General features: G+C 55.5%; 3 protein-coding genes across 7 annotated transcripts, besides 13 other annotated features; 1 reads left to right on the top strand and 2 right to left on the bottom strand.

The window, feature by feature from the left end:
* Positions 1 to 86: 86 nt before the first annotated feature.
* MAF1 (MAF1 negative regulator of RNA polymerase III) lies at positions 87 to 3,237 on the bottom strand. The gene is made up of 8 exons (NM_032272.5): positions 2,840 to 3,237; positions 1,932 to 2,058; positions 1,701 to 1,829; positions 1,457 to 1,622; positions 1,234 to 1,355; positions 1,024 to 1,143; positions 735 to 863; positions 87 to 610 (listed from the first exon to the last, which is right to left on the bottom strand). Exons 2-8 carry the CDS (start codon positions 2,012 to 2,014, stop codon positions 589 to 591), a joined length of 771 nt encoding a protein of 256 aa, NP_115648.2. The 5' UTR covers positions 2,015 to 2,058; positions 2,840 to 3,237; the 3' UTR covers positions 87 to 588.
* Positions 2,638 to 2,932: an enhancer, noted in NCBI's record as "tiled region #2030; HepG2 Activating DNase matched - State 1:Tss, and K562 Activating DNase unmatched - State 1:Tss". NCBI's record gives its function as "activates a minimal TATA promoter and a strong SV40 promoter by Sharpr-MPRA in HepG2 and K562 cells {active_cell/tissue: HepG2 | K562}" and the evidence as "EXISTENCE:reporter gene assay evidence [ECO:0000049][PMID:27701403]".
* Positions 2,638 to 3,033: a biological region, named in NCBI's record as "Sharpr-MPRA regulatory region 2030".
* Positions 2,794 to 3,033: a silencer, noted in NCBI's record as "silent region_19658". NCBI's record gives its function as "represses an Ori minimal core promoter by ATAC-STARR-seq in GM12878 lymphoblastoid cells {active_cell/tissue: GM12878}" and the evidence as "EXISTENCE:reporter gene assay evidence [ECO:0000049][PMID:35858748]".
* Positions 3,684 to 3,733: an enhancer, noted in NCBI's record as "active region_28089". NCBI's record gives its function as "activates an Ori minimal core promoter by ATAC-STARR-seq in GM12878 lymphoblastoid cells {active_cell/tissue: GM12878}" and the evidence as "EXISTENCE:reporter gene assay evidence [ECO:0000049][PMID:35858748]".
* Positions 3,794 to 4,073: a silencer, noted in NCBI's record as "silent region_19657". NCBI's record gives its function as "represses an Ori minimal core promoter by ATAC-STARR-seq in GM12878 lymphoblastoid cells {active_cell/tissue: GM12878}" and the evidence as "EXISTENCE:reporter gene assay evidence [ECO:0000049][PMID:35858748]".
* SHARPIN (SHANK associated RH domain interactor) lies at positions 3,925 to 9,061 on the top strand. 5 transcript variants are annotated; one of them, NM_030974.4, is made up of 9 exons: positions 3,925 to 4,145; positions 4,473 to 4,647; positions 7,629 to 7,769; positions 7,854 to 7,995; positions 8,080 to 8,188; positions 8,268 to 8,421; positions 8,493 to 8,617; positions 8,704 to 8,832; positions 8,910 to 9,061. In NM_030974.4, exons 1-8 carry the CDS (start codon positions 3,945 to 3,947, stop codon positions 8,818 to 8,820), a joined length of 1,164 nt encoding a protein of 387 aa, NP_112236.3. In that variant the 5' UTR covers positions 3,925 to 3,944; the 3' UTR covers positions 8,821 to 8,832; positions 8,910 to 9,061. The 5 variants fall into 5 exon arrangements, 4 of the variants coding, with proteins under 4 accessions (NP_112236.3, XP_047278245.1, XP_047278246.1 ...); NR_038270.2 differs by lacking the exon at positions 8,493 to 8,617; XM_047422289.1 differs by having other exon boundaries at positions 8,704 to 9,061.
* Positions 4,084 to 4,183: a silencer, noted in NCBI's record as "silent region_19656". NCBI's record gives its function as "represses an Ori minimal core promoter by ATAC-STARR-seq in GM12878 lymphoblastoid cells {active_cell/tissue: GM12878}" and the evidence as "EXISTENCE:reporter gene assay evidence [ECO:0000049][PMID:35858748]".
* On the bottom strand, positions 10,173 to 12,622 carry CYC1 (cytochrome c1). Its single transcript, NM_001916.5, has 7 exons — positions 12,470 to 12,622; positions 11,669 to 11,865; positions 11,448 to 11,574; positions 11,204 to 11,361; positions 10,954 to 11,114; positions 10,564 to 10,664; positions 10,173 to 10,466 (listed from the first exon to the last, which is right to left on the bottom strand). The coding sequence occupies exons 1-7, from the start codon at positions 12,596 to 12,598 to the stop codon at positions 10,362 to 10,364; spliced, it is 978 nt and encodes a 325-aa protein (NP_001907.3). The 5' UTR covers positions 12,599 to 12,622; the 3' UTR covers positions 10,173 to 10,361.
* Positions 11,404 to 11,453: an enhancer, noted in NCBI's record as "active region_28088". NCBI's record gives its function as "activates an Ori minimal core promoter by ATAC-STARR-seq in GM12878 lymphoblastoid cells {active_cell/tissue: GM12878}" and the evidence as "EXISTENCE:reporter gene assay evidence [ECO:0000049][PMID:35858748]".
* Positions 12,353 to 12,548: a silencer, noted in NCBI's record as "fragment chr8:145150053-145150248 (GRCh37/hg19 assembly coordinates)". NCBI's record gives its function as "represses an EF-1alpha promoter that drives an FKBP-Casp9 reporter gene in an ReSE screen in K562 erythroleukemia cells {active_cell/tissue: K562}" and the evidence as "EXISTENCE:reporter gene assay evidence [ECO:0000049][PMID:32094911]".
* Positions 12,353 to 12,783: a biological region, named in NCBI's record as "ReSE screen-validated silencer GRCh37_chr8:145150053-145150248".
* Positions 12,494 to 12,783: a silencer, noted in NCBI's record as "silent region_19655". NCBI's record gives its function as "represses an Ori minimal core promoter by ATAC-STARR-seq in GM12878 lymphoblastoid cells {active_cell/tissue: GM12878}" and the evidence as "EXISTENCE:reporter gene assay evidence [ECO:0000049][PMID:35858748]".
* Positions 13,918 to 14,212: an enhancer, noted in NCBI's record as "tiled region #12380; HepG2 Activating non-DNase unmatched - State 2:TssF". NCBI's record gives its function as "activates a minimal TATA promoter and a strong SV40 promoter by Sharpr-MPRA in HepG2 cells {active_cell/tissue: HepG2}" and the evidence as "EXISTENCE:reporter gene assay evidence [ECO:0000049][PMID:27701403]".
* Positions 16,670 to 17,170: an enhancer, noted in NCBI's record as "H3K4me1 hESC enhancer chr8:145145431-145145931 (GRCh37/hg19 assembly coordinates)". NCBI's record gives its function as "activates a minimal SCP1, AML or CMV promoter by ChIP-STARR-seq in primed H9 embryonic stem cells {active_cell/tissue: H9 hESC(primed)}" and the evidence as "EXISTENCE:reporter gene assay evidence [ECO:0000049][PMID:30033119]".
* Positions 17,171 to 17,671: an enhancer, noted in NCBI's record as "H3K4me1 hESC enhancer chr8:145144930-145145430 (GRCh37/hg19 assembly coordinates)". NCBI's record gives its function as "activates a minimal SCP1, AML or CMV promoter by ChIP-STARR-seq in primed H9 embryonic stem cells {active_cell/tissue: H9 hESC(primed)}" and the evidence as "EXISTENCE:reporter gene assay evidence [ECO:0000049][PMID:30033119]".

Genomic DNA, 21,086 nt, shown 5'->3' with positions numbered 1-21,086 from the left:
CCCGCAGCGGCAGTTGCTAGGATACCAGATGCCGCCGGCCACTCCCACACCGCAGGCCCCACCCCCACACCGCATCAGGTCCACACTAAGTCACAGAAACTTTTATTGGAAAGAAACGAGCTGCAGCAAAGTGACACTCAGTGCACGCGGCCAAATGGGCGAGGTGGGGGTACAGGTGGGCACCGGGGCCGGCCCAAGACCAGAGCCGGTGACTGCTGGGGCCTGCTCGTGGGGCCTCCGGCCACAGACCCTTTGGGCTGGAGTGTGCAGGCCCAGTAGAAATACAAAAATAAACTCTGCGGTCCAGCTGTCCCTGCTGTGGCAGTTCATTTGGGCAGGGCAGTCGCTCCTCCCACCAGGCCCCCTGCTGACAAGTCCGGCCACAGCATGGGCAGCAGGAGTCTGAGGGGTGAGTGGGCATCCACAGGATGGAGCCAAAGGGCTAGGCAGGTATGGCCTTGGGCAGTGCCAGGACTGTGGCAGCGCCAGGGTCTGGCCAGCAGCTGGGGAGGCCCCAGGGGCCTCTCAGGTGGACAGGTCCAGGCATTGGTTGAAGCTGGATGAAGCTGGGGCCTCGGCTCCTCCTCATCAAATACAGATCACTGGGACCCTGGGCGGAGGTTGGCACACAGTGGGCCTTCAGGAGCCACCACTTAGACCAAGTAGAGGAGGCCCCCACCCTGTTGTACCCACTCCAGGCTTCAAGGACCCGGGTCATGGCCCCCATCACACACCTGTCCTCCTCCATGGTGCTGGTCTCCTCGGCCCCACTGCCCCCGCTTCTGCTTTCTTCCTCCACCTCCTCCTCCCCCAGCTCCATGTCCAGCTCGTTGCCTGCCTCTGAGGGTGTGTAGGTGGAGCCACTGAGGGGAGGCAGGGAAACCAGTTTCAGGACCCCTACCCAGGCCTGCTGCTGGCCCCAGGGAGGATGTTCAGGGAGGGCAAAGCTGGGTGGAGATGGCACAGCTGGGGAAGTTGTATCGGCCCAACAGGGAGGTGGGGGAGGAGGCGGGGGGTGCCCACCTGATGGAACGGCAGCTAAAGAAGACGATTCGCTTGAGCCGCTTGTTGTAGAAGAAGTAGTTGAAGGACCAGAGGCTACCATCCTCCCCGAAGGGATCTGAGTCCAAGTCTGGGTTATAGCTGGGGAGTATAGGGTGACAGGTGGTGTGAGGCGCCAAGTGCCCCACAAACCTGGAGGCCTGGAGGCCATCTGCAGGGATGCCGGCCCACCTGTAGATGTCACATTCAGCCAGGCAGATCTCCTCGTCCACCGCGTTCCACAGCTGTGGTTTCAGATCCTTGAAGTCCTCCCGCACAGCTGAGAACAGACTGCAGTTGACTGCATTCACCACCTAGGGCAGGTCACAGTCAGGGTGACAGGAGCCCAGGGCTACCCAAAGTGGGGAAGGACAGTGGGGTGGCTGTGGGTCCCTTCCCTCCACCTGACCCTCACCCAGCTAAGGCTGGGCTCCCGGCTGAACTCATGGCTGCGGGCTGTGCTGAAGTCATAGTCAGGCCTGAAGGACTCATTGAGCGTGGCAATCAGGTAGAAGAGGGTCTTGCGGCTGCACTTGTCACTGAGGGGGCCCTCCTCCTCACCGCCTTGGCTTTTGCTGAGTCTGCACAGACAGAACCATCAGCTGGGCCCATCACCTCCCCTCAACCCCCAGCCCCAGGTAGGCCCCACCATGGCTCACCTGCTGGGGCTCAGTCCTGAAGTCTGGGGTGGAGAAAGTGCCTCCAGCACGTGGGGCTGGCCCTCCTGGCAGAACTGCTTGAACATGTGTTTGTCGTCTCCTGCCATCTTACATGAGTAGCTCTCAATCCTATAGGATGCAGAGAGAACCATGAAGCATGCTTCCCCCAGGTTCCACTGAAGGGCGCGGCAGTGTGACCTCCGAGATGCCAGCCCCCCCAGCCTGCCTCACCTGCCAATGATGTGGGCATCTCCAGTCTCCACAGTCAGCTGTGAGTTGATGGCTTCAAAGCTCGAGTTCTCCAATAGCTTCATGTCTTTGGGGAAGGAGCTCCGTGCTCCAGAGGGGCTAGTATTGCCTGGGGAGTGAGAGACCAGACCATGGGTATCTATCTGGCCCCTTGGGGCCCTGCCTTCAGCCCTCCTACCCACTAAGTGGAGCCGCTAGGAACAAGCTGAGTCTGGCCTCTGTCCAGGCTGCACATCAGGAGCTCCCCTCTCTGCCCGGCCAGGAGAGGTGACAGAGATCCTGTTTTACCTGAGGGTGGTAAGTCCAGGCTCCAGGTCAGCCATACCCCCTGCAGAACACGCGAGTTCTGGGACTAGACTAGACCACCGGGGACCCTGCTCACCCTGGGGCTGCTGGCTGAGATTGTTGCTCAACATTCCCATTCCCCATCTCCACGCCCACTCCAAAAGAGCTCCAGCCACCATGGGGGTAACTCTTGAGTCCGCAACGGGACGTGACTCCTGCAGTCTCCCTCAGGCTGGCTGGGCTCCTCAGCCAAGGTAAGAGGCTGCATCCCGGTTAGGAACCAGGACACCTGGGACTCCGGGCCCTGCGGTCACCTGGGCGGGCGCTCTTTCGTTTTGGCTACTTTCTGGCCCGGGGAGAGGAAAACTACAGGTTCCTCCACTCTACCCGGAAAAATTGCCTAGTTTCTCCAGACGCCTAGGAGGGCGGTCCCTCGGCCCCGCTGGGGCGCTGCAGTCACCAGGCAGCGCCCGCCTGGGCCACGTCGGGCACCAGCCAAGCCGCGGTGGAACTACAAATCCCAGGAGGCAGCGCGCCGCGCGAGGCCTGCTGGGGGCTGTGGTTCCGGGTACGCAGACGGCGCGGGACGCAGGGCGGACACCCACCTGCCTGGCTGGGTTAGATCAGGCCGCGCCGGGCCGGGTCTGGCTGGGCTGGGTCGCTCCGCGTCGGTGCCGGTGCGCAGGCGGGGGCGGGCTCCGCGCAGCGCGGGCTCTTCAAGATCGGAGGGCGGCGCCGCGGCCTCCGCTCGGGCCGCACTGTATCCGGGGGAAGAAGCTCCGCGGCGACGTCCCGTTACTCCCGGCCCTGCCGGCCCATCCGGGCTGCCACCGCGACATAGCCTCGCCCCCTTCCACAGAGCCCGCTCTCGCGACCGACCTGCCGCCGACCGCCACAGAGCGCTCCGGCGAGTCAGCGAGCCGAGCGAGCGAGCGAGCGACCTCCGCCTCCCCCGGCCGGACAACAACAAGCGTCCGCCGGGCCCGGCCCCGCGCCTCTGAATGGCCCGCTCCAGTCTCCGAGATCGAGAGCTCGAATAGCCATCGGGTGCCGTACCCGCCACTCAGTTCTGCCTTCTACGTCTACTGGTTATGGAGCCTGTCTGTCACTCTTCTCGTCGTACTAACCCGCTTACCCCCGGCGTTCATTGGCCGTGGCCTCTCTAGCTCCGCCCCCTAGGGGGGTCGACCCCGTAACCAGTGAGGCGCGGGCCAACCTAGTGCGACGTGTGGGCGTGGCGGGGGCTGGGGTCTGCGGGCGAAGGTGGCAGCCCATTGGAGGTCCCGGGAGCGAAGTCCAGCTGCCGTTAGGCGCTGGGATAGTCGCACGCTGGATGCATCTACGTCCGCCGAGCCCCTGGGGCGAAGAGGCCGCGTCCGCCTTCAGTTGTGGCCGGTGCTTCGCCCCCTGACCCTTCGCCCCCAAAGACCAGCTCTAACGTGAGCGCCTCGGCCGCCCTGCCCCAGCCTCGTACACGCCGCCAGCCTCGCCCAGCCGGTGTCCGGAGACCCTCGGGCCGTGTCCATTTGTGGGCAAAGCCAGCGGGGCAGGCTTGGCCAGAGTGCACCACTCGGCGCCGTCCCAGGCCCGACGCTCTGGGCGCGCCCGGAACCCCAGGTTCGCGGCCCGTGTTTCCGACCGGCGGAGGGGGCTCAGCGGCCCGATCCCACGGAAGCGCGCTCGGAGGGGTGGGACCCGGCCGGACCGGAGATGGCGCCGCCAGCGGGCGGGGCGGCGGCGGCGGCCTCGGACTTGGGCTCCGCCGCAGTGCTCTTGGCTGTGCACGCCGCGGTGAGGCCGCTGGGCGCCGGGCCAGACGCCGAGGCACAGCTGCGGAGGCTGCAGCTGAGCGCGGACCCTGAGCGGCCTGGGCGCTTCCGGCTGGAGCTGCTGGGCGCGGGACCTGGGGCGGTGAGTGGGGGCGGAGGGCGCGCGGTCAGTCCTCTTGGCCCGGGCAGGGCACGGAGCCCAAAGTTAGGCCCCTCCGCTTGCCACCTGGGTGCCCTTAAGCAGTTATGTTTCTTTGCTTCTGTTTTCTCGTCCGTGAAATGGGGGTGACGCTCGGACCTACTGGGACCTACCTGGACCTACTTTACAGGGCTATTGTGAGGATTTGATGATAGGCGTACAGGGCTTAGGACCGTGTAAATGGTCTATAAATGTTACCTTGTATTTCTTTGCTCCTCGTGCGATGTAGGGCGGGGGGACGCCCTGAGCCTGGACTCTCCCTCTTCTCAGGTTAATTTGGAGTGGCCCCTGGAGTCAGTTTCCTACACCATCCGAGGCCCCACCCAGCACGAGCTACAGCCTCCACCAGGAGGGCCTGGAACCCTCAGCCTGCACTTCCTCAACCCTCAGGAAGCTCAGCGGTGGGCAGTCCTAGTCCGAGGTGCCACCGTGGAAGGACAGAATGGTCAGTGCCCTGTAATGGATACAATTACAATTTGGAATAGCCTTGGCCCCCCAGTCCTGGTTGGGGAAGTTGGATCCACCTTCCCCACTGCTGGATGTCTGGGAAGGCTTCCAGGAGGGAGTAGGTGGAGCCTGGAGTAGCTTGGAGTACTTGGAGTGGCTGCTGGAGTCAGTCTCCTACACCATCTGAGGCCCCAGCCAGCACAAGTTGCAGCCTCCACCAGGAAGCCCTGGAACCTCAGCCTGCACTTCCTTAACCCTCAGGAAGGATGAGAGGCAAGCATGAAGAGGCAGAGCAGGCAGGGTCAGGACCTGTGTGAGAAGACATCATCCCAAGAGCAGCAGGAGAGTGACAGGAGTGGGAGAGTGACAGACTCAGATACCTCCTGCTTAAGACAGAGTTCTGCAGTGGCAAGGGTTGGTGCAGATAGGGTTGGGGAGAAGGATGTTTCTAGAGATGCTTAGAAGATGGAATTAGTGGCCGGGTGGGGTGGCTCACGCCTGTAATTCCAGCACTTTGGGAGGCCGAGGTGGGTGATCACCTGATGTCAGGAGTTTGAGACCAGCCTGGTCAGCAAGGTGAAACCCTGTCTCTACTAAAAATACAAAAATTAGCCAGGCGTGGTGGCGTGTGCCTGTAGTCCCAGCTACTTGGGGAGGCTGAGGCAGGAGAATCACTTGAACCCGGAGGCAGAGGTTGCAGTGAGCTGAGATCTTGCCACTGCACTCCAGCCTGGGTGACAGAGCAAGACTCCATCTCAAAAAAAAAAAAAAAAGAAGATGGAATTAGCTGAGTTTCATGGCTGCTTGGGAGGTTTTTTGCAGACAAAGACTCCCTCTCTCACCCAGACTGGAGTGCAGTAGCGTGACCCTAACTCACTGGAGCCTTGAACTCCTGGTCTACGGTGATCCTCCTGCTTCAGCCTAAGTAGCTGTTATTGGCATGAGCCACTGCCCCTGGCTCACATGGCTGCTTAAATGGAAGAGTTAGCAGTTGAGACTGAGAAACATGAAGGACTAGGTAGTATGGGGCTCCCAGATAGAGGGCAGCCCACAAACGAGATAAGCAGAGCTGCCAGAGGGGTAGGAAGACAGCCAGACAGTGATGTAAGAGAGACTCAAGCAACTCAGGGTTTATAAAAGGAGCTAAGCTCTCTTTAGTCATTCACCAAGCATATGTATTCAGCAGCTGCCCTGTCCCAGGTACTCCTTTGGCATGAACAAAACCTCCCATCCCCATCCTATTGGAGCTTGCATTTTTAGAGGGGAGGAGGCAGACATATAAAATAAGTACAGGGCTGGGCAACATACAAAAAATTTAAAAATTAGCTGAGTGGGCCGGGCACGGTGGCTCACACCTGTAATCACAGCACTTTGGGAGGCCGATGTGGGCAGATCATGAGGTTAAGAGATCGAGACCATCCTGGCTAACACGGTGAAACCCTGACTACTAAAAAAAAAAAAAAAAAAAAAAAATTAGCTGGGTGTGGTGGTGGGGACCTATAGTCCCAGCTACTCGGGAGGCTGAGGCAGGAGAAGGGCGTGAACCCAGGAGGTGGAGCTTGCAGTGAGCCGAGATTGCACCACTGCACTCCAGCCTGGGCAACAGAGCGAGACTCCATCTCACAAAAAAAAAAAAAAAAAAAAATTAGCTGAGTGTAGTCGTGTCTGCCTGTAATCCCAGCTATTCGGGAGGTTGAGATGGGAGGATCACTTGAGCCCAGGGGTTCTAGGCTGCAGTGAGCTGTGATCGTGCCACTGCACTCCAGCCTGGGTGACAGAGCGAGATCCTGTCTCCAAAAAAAAAAACAAAAATAATAAAATTACTGTAGAGTTTTTTAAAAAAGAAAGTCTGTTAGATGGTGTGGGAATGAGAATGGTGGAGCTGGGAGGATTGCTGTTTAAAACGGTGGCAGGGGCCGGGCGCGGTGGCTCACGCCTATCATCCCAGCACTTTGGGAGGCCGAGGTGGGCAGATCACCTGAGGTCGGGAGTTCAAGACCAGTCTGACCAACATGGAGAAATCCCGTCTCTACTAAAAATACAAAATTAGCCGGGCGTGGTGGTGCATGCCTGTGATCCCAGCTACTCAGGAGGCTGAGGCAGGAGAATCGCCTGAACCCAGGAGGCGGAGGTTGCGGTGAGCCGAGATCACACCACTGCACTCCAGCCTGGGCAACGAGTGAAACTCCGTCTCAAAAAAAAAAAAAAGTGGTGGCAGGGAAGGCCTCATTGAGGTGACACTGGAGTGAAATTTGAAGGTCATGGCATGAACCATGTGACCAAGGAAGCAGCAAACAAACCCTGAGGTGAGCATGTATAAGTGATCCTTGAGGTTCAGTGGGGGCCGGGGCCGGGGCCGGGGCCAGGAACAGCGCTGGGTGCGTGGAAGGCCCTGCTTATCCTAGTAGGGAGATGGTAGAATATAGTGGGCCTGAGACCACGGGAGCTGTGTCAGCACTGGATGGGGACCCCCCCATTGCAGTGGGCTGGGCCTCACAGGGCGGGTAAGAAGGTGAGTCAGCAGGGTGCTCAGCTCTGAAGACGCCCAGGGCAGTGGCTTGTCTGGAGTGCTGGCAGCCCAGGTGTGGGTCAGGGAGCCCGGAGAGGGGAGGTCCCCAAGGGCTCCAAGAGGCCACCCTGACTGCAGGGCCACTGAGGGCCTGCTTTGGTTCTGCTGTGAGGCATCCCTGGCTGGCAGAAAGAGCCAAGAGAGGTGGCCTAGCCAGGCACAAAAGGGTTTGAAAAGGCTCTAATTCCCAAATATGAACTAAGTGCAGCTCCAGCACTAACAGAAGTCTGGCAGGGGCCTCTGAGGGTCTTGCCAGAGCCAAGGCTGGGAGAAGGTGTGGCTAGAAGTGTGGCCTGAGGCAGGGCCCTGGCATGGACTGAGGTGAGGGAGAAGGCAAAGGTCCTGGAAAACCAAGGGCCTAGAGGCCTGGACAGAGGCCACAGCACAGCACACCCATATCTTACCTCTAGGCAGCAAGAGCAACTCACCACCAGCCTTGGGCCCAGAAGCATGCCCTGTCTCCCTGCCCAGTCCCCCGGAAGCCTCCACACTCAAGGGCCCTCCACCTGAGGCAGATCTTCCTAGGAGCCCTGGAAACTTGACGGAGAGAGGTACAGGTGGGGGGAGGGGGTTGGGGGGTTCGGGGATAGCAGATAGTCCCCAGTGGTGACAGCTGTCCTTTCCTTACCCTGCAGAAGAGCTGGCAGGGAGCCTGGCCCGGGCTATTGCAGGTGGAGACGAGAAGGGGGCAGCCCAAGTGGCAGCCGTCCTGGCCCAGCATCGTGTGGCCCTGAGTGTTCAGCTTCAGGAGGCCTGCTTCCCACCTGGCCCCATCAGGTGAGGCCTGGGGCTGCTTCTTCACCTTGTCCTCGTGACCATCCCAGGTCCCCCATCCATCCCTGAACCCACATTCTGGCACAGGCTGCAGGTCACACTTGAAGACGCTGCCTCTGCCGCATCCGCCGCGTCCTCTGCACACGTTGCCCTGCAGGTCCACCCCCACTGCACTGTTGCAGCTCTCCAGGAGCAGGTGGGCACAGGGTCTGGGGAGCCCTGCCAGGGGCAGAGGAGCCTAGGTGACATCACCTGCCCTGATGCTCTGGCCACAGGTGTTCTCAGAGCTCGGTTTCCCGCCAGCCGTGCAACGCTGGGTCATCGGACGGTGCCTGTGTGTGCCTGAGCGCAGCCTTGCCTCTTACGGGGTTCGGCAGGATGGGGACCCTGCTTTCCTCTACTTGCTGTCAGCTCCTCGAGAAGCCCCAGGTCAGTCCTCGATGGGGGTGGGGTGTGGGAGGTGGGGTGCAGCCCCACAGTCCTGAGCTCCACCCCCTCAGCCACAGGACCTAGCCCTCAGCACCCCCAGAAGATGGACGGGGAACTTGGACGCTTGTTTCCCCCATCATTGGGGCTACCCCCAGGCCCCCAGCCAGCTGCCTCCAGCCTGCCCAGTCCACTCCAGGTGGGCACGGGACTGGGCAGGGAGGGCCAGGACAGCCATGGGCATTGGAAAGAGCAGGGAAGCAACAACTGTCTCTCTTCCCCCAGCCCAGCTGGTCCTGTCCTTCCTGCACCTTCATCAATGCCCCAGACCGCCCTGGCTGTGAGATGTGTAGCACCCAGAGGCCCTGCACTTGGGACCCCCTTGCTGCAGCTTCCACCTAGCAGCCACCAGAGGTACCAGAGGTGGCACAGGCAGGGGAGGTGGGGGGCAGGGCAGAATCCACAGGAATGACCCAGCTCCTCCCCCACAGGTTACAAGGGGAGAGTGGCCCTTCCCTCACAAGTCCGACATCTCCAGGCCCCCACTGAACTCCGGGGACCTCTACTGACTGCTTGCTGGGACAGTCACCAGGGTTGGGGGGAAGGGCCACAAAATGAAACCATTAAAGACCCTTAAGAGCCAGCAAGCATCCCTTTCATGGTGTCTCTGCAGACCTGCCCCATCCTAGCCAGCGATACAGGGAGACAGGCCCTCATCAGCAGGCGGGGCTCCCCAGCCAGACCCCGGTGTTACTGAAGAATGGGCCCGGACCCTGAGCCTCAGTGGTCAGGAAAGCATGGCATGGGGATCTCTTCCCAGACCCCAGAGGCCTACAGAGCCCCCCACCCAGCTGCTCACCACTGGGCTGAGGCTGCTGGGGTGTGCCACATACTGAGCTGCAGCCCCCACCACTGACCTTGTCTCCTACTGTCCACCCTGGTCCCCCAGGCCTGCACCTCTCTTGCCTGCAGGCCTATTGGTACCACCTTTCTCCCATTCAGCTCTTGCCTTCCTTGGACTATGGCCACCACTCCCCTCAGCTCTTGCAGCTAGGACACCAGCAATGAAAATGGGTGTTTTCCTTCCCTTCCTAGGGACGAGGGAAGCTCAGGAGCTGAGTCCTGCACCAGGTCACTGGGCCGGTGCTGGGTCATGTCTCTGTGACCCTCCTAGATAGCATCCACTGTCTCCCTCCCTCAGCAGCATGCTCCTGTGGGAACCCAGCTACTGCCAGCTTCTGGCCAGGACCCACCACCTAGCTACCCTGTGGACTGCTAGGAGGGGCCACTCCATGACACACATCCTGTCTGTCTACTTGACTCCTTCACCTGGCTGGGAGCCATCCCCTTCCTCAGCCCAGCCCAGCAATAAATAGCCCCTGCCCTAGACCAGGCCTTTCCCCTGTTAAAATGCAGCCAAGGTTCCCTGCTGCCATCAGAATGGGGGCCAAGTGGTTCAACACCTTAACACTTGGCTGTTCATTCCAACAGGTCCCTGGGCCACATCCTGCCTGGCTAGGCCCTTTTCAGCTCTGTGCTCAGACACACCCCACCCCACCAAATGCTGACTTCCTCTAACATGCAGTTCTCCGCTTTCTGTCCCACACCCACTGTCTGGACTCCCAGCTACCAGTCAGTGCAGGGCATTGCTGGCCACACTGCATGGGACATCCTGGGAGCCTTGTGAAGGCAAGGGTCTTGGTATCAGAGTTCCTTGCAAACGTGCACTCTTTCCATATAATAACTCAAATATGTACATTGAGAAAATTAATTTATTCCCATGATGGGGGCTGAAGGAGGGCCCAGAGCTAGAGCCTGGTCTCCTGCCCCCTTGCCTCTTCTTCCAGATGAAGAGAGGCTTAGCTGAGGCCTGAACAGGCCTGGGATGGCTCTTGGGCTTGAGGGCCTGTTCTGGCAGGATGGCAAGCAGACACTGGACAGGGTCACTTGGGCGGCCGATATGCCAGCTTCCGACTCTTCAGGACTGACCACTTGTGCCGCTTTATGGTGTAGACCAGGGGCACCAGCAGAGCCATCATCATCAACATCTGCAGACAAGGAAGGCTCAGAGAAGGGAGTGGGGAGGAGCCCTGCCCAGCTCCCAGCCCTTCTCTGATACCCACCATGGCCTCCCAACCCTTTTACCTTGAGCCCCATGCGTTTTCGATGGTCGTGCTCTGGCTCAGATGCCCAGCGCAGGAAGGTGCACACATCCTTGGCTATCTGGGACATGGTAGCTGGGGTGCCTGGCCAACGACAAGCAGTGAGGGCTATTCTCAGGCTCATGTCCAACCTGGGATCATGCCCCCCCTCTGTGAAGCAGACACTGCCCCTACCCAAGGCATCAAAGGGGCAGTACCCTCCACCGGACATACGCAAAACTGAAGGAGCCCAAAAGCCTCCTGAGACATGCACAGAAGACGCCCCAGACAAGAAGTGGGCAGGACCTCCTGGACCCAGGAACACAGGGAAAGCATCCCTGGGGGTAGTGGAGAAGTATTCCACATGCCCACTGCCAGACTGGAGGCCTCTTACCATCGTCAAACTCTAAGACATCTGTGTAGATGGGAGGGGCCATGGCAATGGCCTGGCCAGGAAAGTAGGGGTTGAAGTAGAGACCTTCCCGCAGTGACACCCCGGTGGGTGGCTCGCAGTAGCCCGTGAGCAGGGAGAAGACGTAGTCCTCACCACCATGCCTAGGACCAGATCCATGGCTCCTTAGTTCCAAGCACAAGTCAGCCCTTCCCCCATCTCTCCAGCACCACCCCATGGGCAGCCCGTGTACCTAGCTCGCACGATGTAGCTGAGGTCAGGGGGCAATGCTCCGTTGTTGGCAGCTCGAGCAGCCTCACTGTTGGGGTATGGTTTTGGGAAATAGTCGAACAGCTTCCCTGGCCGCATGAACATCTCCCCATCTTCATTGGGGCCGTCTTGAACCTCCACCTGCCACCGAGAGCCTCATCACAACCCTGCCATCTCAACAGTGGGAGCCCTGAGCCCTGGGTCCCAGGCATCCCCAGACCCCACACCTCCGCAGCCAGCTCCTTAGCTTCATCCTCCGTGTAGCACACGCCCACCAGGTGGCGGTAGGCCACGAAGTCCATGCTGTGGCAGGAGGCGCACACCTGCTTATATACCTGGAAACCCCTCCGGATGCTGGAGGGAGGGAAAGGGTTAGGAAAGCTGAAGATTCCACCTTACCAGCTCCACCCAGAACCTCCCGCTGCCAGCCAGCCAGCCAGCTGCACACCTGGTGTGGTCCAAGGAAGAGAGGAGGCCACGGTGAGACCACGGATAGCTGGGGGGGTGCAGCTCCAGGTCACTGGCACTCACAGCCGAATGCAGAGCCATGGCCAGCCCCGCACCCCCTGCCGCCAGCATGCCCAGCGCTGACAGCATCACTTTCCGGCCTCGGGAAAGGCCAGACTTCGACGACAAGGCCACTGCCTGCAAGATCTCCGCTCAGCGCCTGCCAGGACACCACCCAGCCCTACCTGGGGATCTGACTCTCAGCGCCCACCTCTCCACCCAGCAATGGCCTCCTCCTGCAGGGCACCAGACGCACACCCTGTCCCACTACCCACCCCATCCCTCTCCGCCGCTGACCCCTAGACCGTGATTCGCTCTCAGGAGAGGGTGTTCCTGGATCCTGAGCCGGGGATCAGACCGAAGTGACCAAGGGTGCTGGGACAGGCCAAGGTCACAAGCAGCTGGCCGAGATCAGGCTGGGGTCACTTCAGGACGCGGGCCCAGTTTGGACAGCCAGCCGCAAGAGCCGTCCTGGGCGCGCCATTCGGGAAAGCCCCAGCCCCGCCACGGCAGCTAGCCCGTCCCGCCAACCCCCACGCTGGGGACGGGCTCTCTGCCGTTCGGAGAGGTGGGCGCCCAGCCCTGATCCCACACGCTCAAGGTCGGCAGGCAGCTGGGACCGGGGACGCTGGGTGGCCGGTACCGCTTCCGCGCTGCCCAGGCCCGCGCCCGCAGCCTCCCCGCCGTGACCTTCACGGAGATGCGGGGCCGCGCGGAGGCCGGGGCCCGGCCCAGCGCTCACCTGAGGTGTCCGTAGCGGGAGCTGCCCGGGACGCGCGCTGCACAGCAGACCCCGGGCACGCGCGCCCGGGAGCCCCGCGCCCCGCGGGCCCAACACTACCCCGCGAAGCGAAGCCGCAGCTGCCGCCATCTTGGCCTCCTCCGCGCGGCCGCCACTCCCGTCGGCCCCTGGGGCGCCACGAGAGTCAAAACCTCGCGAAAGCCGGGGAGCGCGGGGCGGGGCCGGGCTCGGGGGCGGGGCCTGTCGGGTGGGCGGGGACGAAGCGCGCTGGTCCCGGTCGCGTCAGTCAGGGGCCGGGGCACCGCCTGCCTCCCCACGCTCTTCGGGTTGTCGTGGAAACTGGCGGTGGGGCGGGGCCCCGTCGCGTCTCTCTGTTGCCGTGACAGCGCCACGCTCCGCCCGGCGTTTCCCACGCCGCCTCCGAGACCCCGACGCTCCTTTTCTCCACCTTCCCAGGCTGCGCGATGGCCGGGTGGAGGGTGCCCCTGCAGGCTGAGGACCTCCAGAGAAAGGGCGGCTTGGAGGGCAGCCCGGCAGAGGGCGCGGGCAGGGGTCTCGGCCGCAGGCAGCGCGTGACAGCGGGAGGCTGGGCCCCCAGGCTGAGCACCCTGTTCTCCTTCATTCCCTTGACTCATGGCCCGACGCGTGATGCGCGCCTTGGGTCCTAGCGCTTTGGGAAGCTGAGGCGGGAGGATCGCTTGAGCCCCGGAGGTGGAGACTGCGGTGAGCCGAGATCGCCACTGCACTCCAGCCTGGGCGATATCGAGCGAGACCTCGTCTCAAAAAAGTAAGTAAATATGATCTTGTTATGTGAGAATATTTTTATTGTAAAATATTTAAAAAGTAAGCAAAGGCCGGGCGCGGTGGCTCACGCTGTAATCCCAGCACTTTGGGAGGGTGGGGCGGGCAGATCACGAGGTCAAAAGATGGAGACCATCCTGGTCAGCATGGTGAAACCTTGTCTCTACTGAAAATACAAAAATTAGCCAGGCGTGGTGGCGCGCGCCTGTAGTCCCAGCTACTCTGGGAGGCTGAGGCAGGAGAATCGCTTGAACCCGGGAGGCGGAGGTTGCAGTGAGTAGAGATCGTGCCACTGCACTCCAGCCTGGATGACAGACGGAAGACTCCCTCTCAAGAAAAAAAAAAAAGCAAATAAAATTTAAAAACTAGGCTGGGTGCGGTGGCTCACGCCTGTAATCCCAGCACTTTGGGAGGCCCCAGATCACTTGAGGTCGTGAGTTTGAGACCAGCCTGACCAACATGGAGAAACCCTGTGTTATATGTAAAATGTTTATTTAGAAACAGAACGCTTGTTCCCTGGTACCATAAGGAAAGATCAGCATTCCGACAAAAAGTTCTCTCAGCAAGTCAATTTTACTTTCTGCAGAGAGGGTGCTCCTCACAGATGGAAAAATGGTGAGAGCACACCTGAATAAAGGAGAGAAGCTATTTTTATCCCTTACACAGCTTGTCCCTGCTACTGTGTCCTGTCTCCATTGGCTAGAGCCAGATGGCACAATCTAAACTAAAAGTCGACTGGCTAATAATTTAAAACTTTTCTAAATAGATAAAGGCAAGGGAGAACAGAGGAAAAGAGGAAGTTGCTTATGCCAAATAGGGAAGGGGCACAGGCTGTGAGCTGGAACGTGCCTGTGAGCACGTCCAGCACAAATATTTTGGTTAAGGTACAAGGACATAGAATGTACTACCTGCCTGTGAGCATGTTTAACAGCTACATAAGATAGAGCTTAAAGAATTATTAGCAAAACCAAACACCACATGTTCTCACTCATAGGTGGGAATTGAACAATGAGAACACTTGGACACGGGAAGGGGAACATCACACACCGGGGCCTGTTGTGGGGTGGGGGAGAGGGGAGGGATAGCATTAGGAGATATACCTAATGTAAATGACGAGTTAATGGGTGCAGCACACCATGGCACATGTATACATCTGTAACAAACCTGCACATTATGCACATGTACCCTAGAACTTAAAGTATAATAAAAAAAGAAAAGAAAAGAATTATTAGCACAAAACAAGGAGGCTTGAAGGAAGTTAGTCTGTAAAAGAAACTATTATTTCTAACACTTACGATTTATTCTTTAACAAGAAGGGAAACTTTGAAGAGGAAACTTTTTACTTTCTACACACCATCTCTACTAAAAATACAAAATTAGCCAGGTGTGGTGGCGCATGCTTGTAATCCCAGCTACTCCAGAGGCTGAGGCAGGAGAAGCGCTTGAACCCAGGAGGCGGAGTTTGCAGTGAGCAGAGATCACGCCACTGCACTCCAGCCTGGCAACAAGAACGAAACTCTATCTCAAGAAAAAATAAAATAAAAAATAAAATAAAAATCCAAAATTAGTTGTCAGTGAAAATGGAGAAAGACCCCTAAAAAATGTGCCCACCCCTCACCCAATAAGAGCAAGAAAAACATAGCAAAAATGATCAGAATCAACTTTTACAAAGCTATGGAAATTAATCAAAGGCTGTCGTCATCCCAGGGGGTGTTATTCAATTAAACAGGTGACTATCAGTAAGAACAGTGGCCTTTGTGGGTTGTAGCTTTCCCTGGTTCAACCCTGCCCTCCAGCTCAGTGGTAATCTTGGAAATAAGAACCTACATTCCTAGTTACTGTGGGAGCAAAATGCCCTCATTCGCACAGAACCTCCGTTATTGAACGTGTCTGATGGCTGCCTAGAAGACTCCTACCACATTGGCTCAGGGCTTGCCCAGTGCCAGCTGCCTGAGGTGATGGATAACAGTTGCCACAAACAATAGACTAAACAAAAAGCTAAAAAGGAAGAGCAAGGGAATGAGATGTCCACAGGCGCTTTGAAAAGCCCAAAACATTTTTGGGAATACAGGTCATATACACACGGAGGACTATGGATATATACTCAGGAGAGACCTGAAAAAGCCCTAAACTCTCACCTCTGGCTGACCTTGAGGCTCTACACAAAGGGAAGTCTGAGGAAGAGAAATTTAAAAAAAGAAAGAAATATGAACTGGGCCTCAGAGACCTGTGGGACACTATTAAGCATACCAACATATGCATAATTTCAGTCCCAGGAGTAGACTAGACAGAGAAAGGAGTAAGAATACTTAAAAAAAAAAAATGGCCAAGGCTGGGCATAGTAGCTCACACCTGTAATCCCAGCACTTTGGGAGGCCGAGGCAGGCAGATCACCTGAGGTTGAGAGTTCAAAACCAGTCTGACCAACATGAAGAAACCTCGACTCTACTAAAAATACAAAATTAGCCAGGTGTCATGGCGCATGCCTGTAATCCCAGCACTTTGGGAGGCCGAAGTGGGCAGATCACCTGAGGTCGAGAGTTCGAAACCAGCCTGACCAACATGGAGAAACCCTGTCTCTACTAAAAATACAAAATTAGCCAGGCATGGTGGTGCATACCTGTAATCCCAGATACTTGGGAGGCTGAGGCAGGAGAATTGCTTGAACCTGGAGGTGGAGGTTGCAGCGAGCCAAGATTGCACCATTGCACTCCAGCCTGGGCAACAAGAGTGAAACTCTGTCTCAAAAAAAAAAAAAAAAAGGCCAAAAACATGCCATGTTTCATGAAAAACATGAATCTGCACATCTAGTTTTTTTGTTAAACAAACACTAAGTAGAATAAACTAAAGGAGACACATAACAAATTGTTGAAAGACAAAGAATCTTGAAAGCAGCAAGAGAGAAGTGACTCATCACATAAAAATAATTCTTGGCCGGGCGCGGTGGCTCACTCCTGTAATCTTAGCACTTCGGGAGCCTGAGCCAGGCAGATCACCTGAGGTCAGGAGTTCGAGACCAGACTGGCCAATATGGCAAAACCGTGTCTCTACTAAAAATACAAAAAAAATTAGCCGGGCCTGGTGGCATGCACCTGTAATCCCAGCTACTCCGGAGGCTGAGGGAGGAGACTCGCTTGAACCCGGGAGGTGGAGGTTGCAGTAAGCCAAGATTGGACCATTGCACTCCAGCCTGGACAACAAGAGCAAAACTCCTTCTCAGAAAAAAAAAAAAAAGTAATAATAAATACAAAGAGAAAGAAAGAAAAAAGAATTCTCAACAAAATTAACAAAAGATTTCTCCTCTCAAACCATGGAGGCTTGCTGGGTGAAGTGGCTAACGCCAGTAATCCCAGCACATCAGGAGGCCAGGGCAGGCGGATCACCTGAGGTCAGGAGTTCGAGAACAGTCTGGCTAACATGGTGAAACAGCTGGAAGACTTATATCACCCAATTTCAAAACTTGATTACTGTAGGTTTATAGTAGGTTTTAGTACTGATAAAAGGATAGGCATATAGATCAATGGAATAGAATTGAGAGTCCACAAATAAAGTCTATGACTATACATCTATGGTCATTTGATTTTTTTTTACAAGGGTACTGAGACCAATGGAGAAAGAAGACTCTCTCCAGCAAATGGTTCTGTGACAATTGGATATTCAAATGCAAACAGGGCTGGGCATGCTGGCTGATGCCTGTGATCCCAGCACTTTGGGAAGCCAAGGCAGGTAGATTGCTTGTGCCCAGGAGACCAGCCTGGGCAATATGGCGAAACCCTGTCTTAAAAAAGCCAAGAGTGATGCACGTCTGTGGTCCCAGCTACTCAGGCGGGTGAGGTGGGAGCATCACCTGAGCCTGGGGAGGTCAAAGCTGCAATGAGCTGTGATCATGCCACTGCGATCCAGCCTAGGCAACAGAGTTGAGACCCTATCTCAAAACAAACAAAACAGCCAGGCACGGTGGCTCATGCCTGTAATCCCAGCACTTTGGGAGGTCGAGGTGGGGGGATCACCTGAGGTCCGGAGTTCGAGACCAGACTGACCAACATGGAGAAAGCCCATCTCTACTAAAAATACAATATTAGGGGGCGTGGTGGTGCATGCCTGTAATCCCAGCTATTTGGGAGGCTGAGGCAGGAGAATCGCTTGAACCTGGGAGGCGGAGGTTGCAGTGAGCCATGATTGAGCCATTGCACTACAGCCTGGGCAAGAGCAAAACTCCGTCTCAAAAAAAAAAAAAAAAAACCAAAAAACAAAAACAAAAAGCCAACGATTTGCAAAACAAATGTCAATGAATGAATGAAGTTGGCTCCTTTACCTCACATCATTTATACACCATTTACGAGAACTGAAAAATAATCAAAGATCTAAGTTTAAGACCTAAAGCCAGAAAATTCTCAGAATAAAACAGGCAGGCCAGGAGCGGTGGCTCACGCCTGTAATCCCAGCACTTTGGGAGGCTGAGGTGGGTGGCTCACTAGGTCAGGAGTTCAAGACTAGCCTGGCCAACATGTGAAACCCCATCTCTACTAAAAATACAAAAATTAGCTGGGCGTGGTGTCGCGCACCTGTAATCCCAGCTACTCAGGAGGCTGAAGCAGGAGAATCACTTGAACCCAGCAGGTGGAGGTTGCAGTGAGCCGAGATCGTGCCACTGCACTCCAGCCTGGGTAACAAGAGTAAAACTCTGTCTCAAAAAAAAAAAAAAAAGAAGTATATATATATGTATATATATATATATATGTATATACATATATATATGTATATATATATATATATATATGTATATATATATATATGTATATATATATATATGTATATATATATATATATATGTATATACATATATATATATATATGTATATGTATATATATACCAATTGCCAATAATAACATGAAAAGATGCTTTAGTTTCATTAATCATTAGGTAAATGCAAATCAAAATGAAAATGCAATGCCACTTCACACCCACTAGGATGGCTGTAATCTACAAGATGGATACTAGCAGGTCTGGGTGTGGTGGCTCACACCTGTAATCCCAGCACTTTGGGAAGCTGAGGCAGGTGGATCACCTGAGGTCGGGAGTTTGAGACCAGCCTGACCAACATGGAGAAACCCCATCTCTACTAAAAATACAAAATTAGCCAGGAGTGGTGGTGTATGCCTGGACTCCCAGCTACTCGAGAGACTGAGGCAGGAGAATCACTTGAACCTGCGAGGCGGAGGTTGCAGTGAGCCGAGATCGTGCCATTGCAGTCCAGCCTGGGTGACAAGAGTGAAACTCCAACTCAAAAAAAAAAAAAAAAAGATGGACACTAGCAAGTGTTGGTAAGAACGTGGACATTGGAAGAAGCCAAAATATTTGTAAAAATATAAAATAATTAGTGGGGCGTGGTGACGCATGCCTGTATCCCAGCTACTCGGGAGGTTGTAGAAAGTAAAAAGTTTCCTCTTCAAAGTTTCCCTTCTTGTTAAAAAATAAATTATAAGTGTTTCTTTTAAAGACTAACTTCCTTCAAGCCTCCTTGCTTCGTGCTAATAACTCTTTGTTAAGCCCTATCCTATGGAGCTGTTAGATATAAAGGAATAAGGACATTCTATGTCCTTGTACTTTAACCAAAATATTTGTGCTGGACGTGCTTACAGGCATGTCCCAGCTTGCAGCCTATGCCCCTTCCTTATTTGGGAATATTATTACTTTTCTAAGTCCTTTAGTAAGCAACTTCCTCTTTTCTTCTGTTCTCCATTGCTTTTACCTATTTAAAAAAGGGTTTAAGCTGTTAGCCCATCGGGTTCAGGTCTGGTTCCAGCCAATGCAGACAGGACACAGTAGCAGGGACAAGCTGCATTAAGAGATAAAAATGCTTCCCTCCTTTATTCAGGTATGCTCTCGCCATCATTCCATCTGCAAGGAGCACCCTTTCTGCAGAAAGTAAAATTGACTTGCTGAGAACTTTTTGTCTGAATGCTGATCTTTCCTTATGGTACCAGGGAACATTCTGCTTCTAAATAAACATTTTACATATAACAGAGGCTGAGCCCAGAGAATCACTTGAACTCGGGAGATGGAGGCTGCAGTGAGCCAAGATCTCGCCATAGCACCCAGCCTGGGCGACAGTGAGACTCTGTCCAAAAAAAAAAAAAAAAAAAAATATTCAGGGAGGGGGAAACGTGGAGCCTCAGCCCATGTCATTACTGAAAATCAGAACAGAAATCCTACCTCCCTAACAAAGCAACCTTGCCATTCCCATGGTTCCCTTTTAACACTTGTATAGGCAGGGAGAATTCTGCACAAACTACTCAGAACACAAGCAAGGTATCCTTTAGCTTTTCCCCCGACGTATGTATTTTCATGATTTGTGCTTTAAGTGACTGCCAAAGTCCTGTTAAAAAACAATTGAGGCTGCCATGTGTGGTGGCTCTCATGCCTGTAATCCCAGTACTTTGGGAGACGTAGGTGGGTAGATCATCTGAGGTCAGGAGTTTGAGACCAGCCTGGACAACATAGTAAAACCCCGTCTCTACTAAAAATACACAATTAGCCAGGCATGGTGGTGCGCACCTGTAATCCCACTACTTGGGAGGCTGAGGCAGGAGAACTGCTTGAACCAGGGAGGTGGAGGTTGCAGTGAGCCAAGATTGCATCACTGCACTCCAGCCTGGGCTACAGTGTAAGACTCCATCTCAAAAACAAAACAGTTGAGGTCAAAGCCCAGCTAAAATGCCTGGAGGATGATTTTGTATCAGATGTCATCTTACAAAGAGAACAGGAGACCACAACAGAGATTTCTTCTTGGAAAATAGGAGACTGACAGATGAGTCTCCCTTGCTGATTTAGCATGGGAGGCACGTGATGCCCACCTAGGAGGTGTTCCTAGGGGTACTGAGAGGCAGGGGAAACCAGCCAGGCTAGGGTGGGGACTGCAGGCGTCCACCCAACCTCAGAGGAAGTATTCACTGGAGAAAGTGACTAGAGACTCCAACCTCTGGGACAAGGGGGCTGAAGACAGGCAAGTTAATTATGAGGCTACCAGTCACAGTGGGGTTCCTGATACCCCCTCATCCCCACTAAGCCTCGAATAATGCTGGACACAGAGAACGTAAGCCCACCCAGCAGACATGTGTTTCCTCTGCAGAAACTCTGGAAGTCGCCTAGGTGCTCACCCTGGGAGCCCTCCACCCATCCCCCAACTGTGGAGCCCCATCAATAGACTAACCCCCAACACCAGGGGTCTCATGTCAAGGGGAGCCTCCCGCAGGAAGACATAACCCAGTGAAGAGGCAGTGGCCTACAGAGTAGGGCACAGGGAGGGCACCCTCCTTGGAACCTCCCAGACAACAGGCCATTTGGGGACACTGTACTGAAAGGACCCTGGCCCTCAGTTGATTCTAAGATGCTGTGGCTTCTCCAGGCAGCACGGCTCTGATTCCTGAGGCCTGTGCATGGTTTTGTGTGGCTGCGGCACCTTTGCCTTCCTGTGACCAGAGGGCTCTCTAGCCGCAGCACCAAGGTCCCTGACATGGCCCTGGCATCACCTAAAGGCCACAGGTTTTTCCTTTCTTTTGGAACAGACAGTGGTCTTCCCAGTTCCTTTCAGAGTCCTAGTATAACAGCCTGCTTCTCTCCTTGCTGGCCTGTCAGTGCCCTCTCCCGTGGGGCTCTTGTCCCCGTGCCCCGCCTGCCCCTGGGTCCTGGCTCCACTGTGTTGCCTGCCCAGCCCCTCGTGGGCATCTCACCTGGGCTGACTCAACTCTGAGGAAGCCAGGCCGGGTGCTCCTCCCTGCTCCATCCCAATCCCACACCAAGGCGATGGCCTTG

This window comes from Homo sapiens, chromosome 8, assembly GCF_000001405.40.
Source record: "Homo sapiens chromosome 8, GRCh38.p14 Primary Assembly".
NCBI lineage: Eukaryota > Metazoa > Chordata > Mammalia > Primates > Hominidae > Homo > Homo sapiens.
Note: the sequence above shows the minus strand (reverse complement) of the source record. Positions and strands in the feature narration are given on the sequence as shown.

Excerpts from the sequence above, each read along its gene's own strand:
- MAF1 (NM_032272.5), bottom strand. The coding sequence starts at position 2,014 with ATGAAGCTATTGGAGAACTCGAGCTTTGAAGCCATCAACTCACAGCTG. Across the intron at positions 1,830-1,931 it reads GATGCCCACATCATTGGCAG|GATTGAGAGCTACTCATGTA; the intron begins GTGAGGCAGGCT and ends TGCATCCTATAG. Across the intron at positions 864-1,023 it reads TTTAGCTGCCGTTCCATCAG|TGGCTCCACCTACACACCCT; the intron begins GTGGGCACCCCC and ends GCCTCCCCTCAG.
- SHARPIN (NM_030974.4), top strand. The coding sequence starts at position 3,945 with ATGGCGCCGCCAGCGGGCGGGGCGGCGGCGGCGGCCTCGGACTTGGGC. Across the intron at positions 8,189-8,267 it reads TTGCAGCTCTCCAGGAGCAG|GTGTTCTCAGAGCTCGGTTT; the intron begins GTGGGCACAGGG and ends CTCTGGCCACAG. Across the intron at positions 8,618-8,703 it reads GCCTGCCCAGTCCACTCCAG|CCCAGCTGGTCCTGTCCTTC; the intron begins GTGGGCACGGGA and ends CTCTTCCCCCAG.
- CYC1 (NM_001916.5), bottom strand. The coding sequence starts at position 12,598 with ATGGCGGCAGCTGCGGCTTCGCTTCGCGGGGTAGTGTTGGGCCCGCGG. Across the intron at positions 11,866-12,469 it reads TCCCGCTACGGACACCTCAG|GCAGTGGCCTTGTCGTCGAA; the intron begins GTGAGCGCTGGG and ends GAGATCTTGCAG. Across the intron at positions 11,575-11,668 it reads TCTTCCTTGGACCACACCAG|CATCCGGAGGGGTTTCCAGG; the intron begins GTGTGCAGCTGG and ends CCCTCCCTCCAG.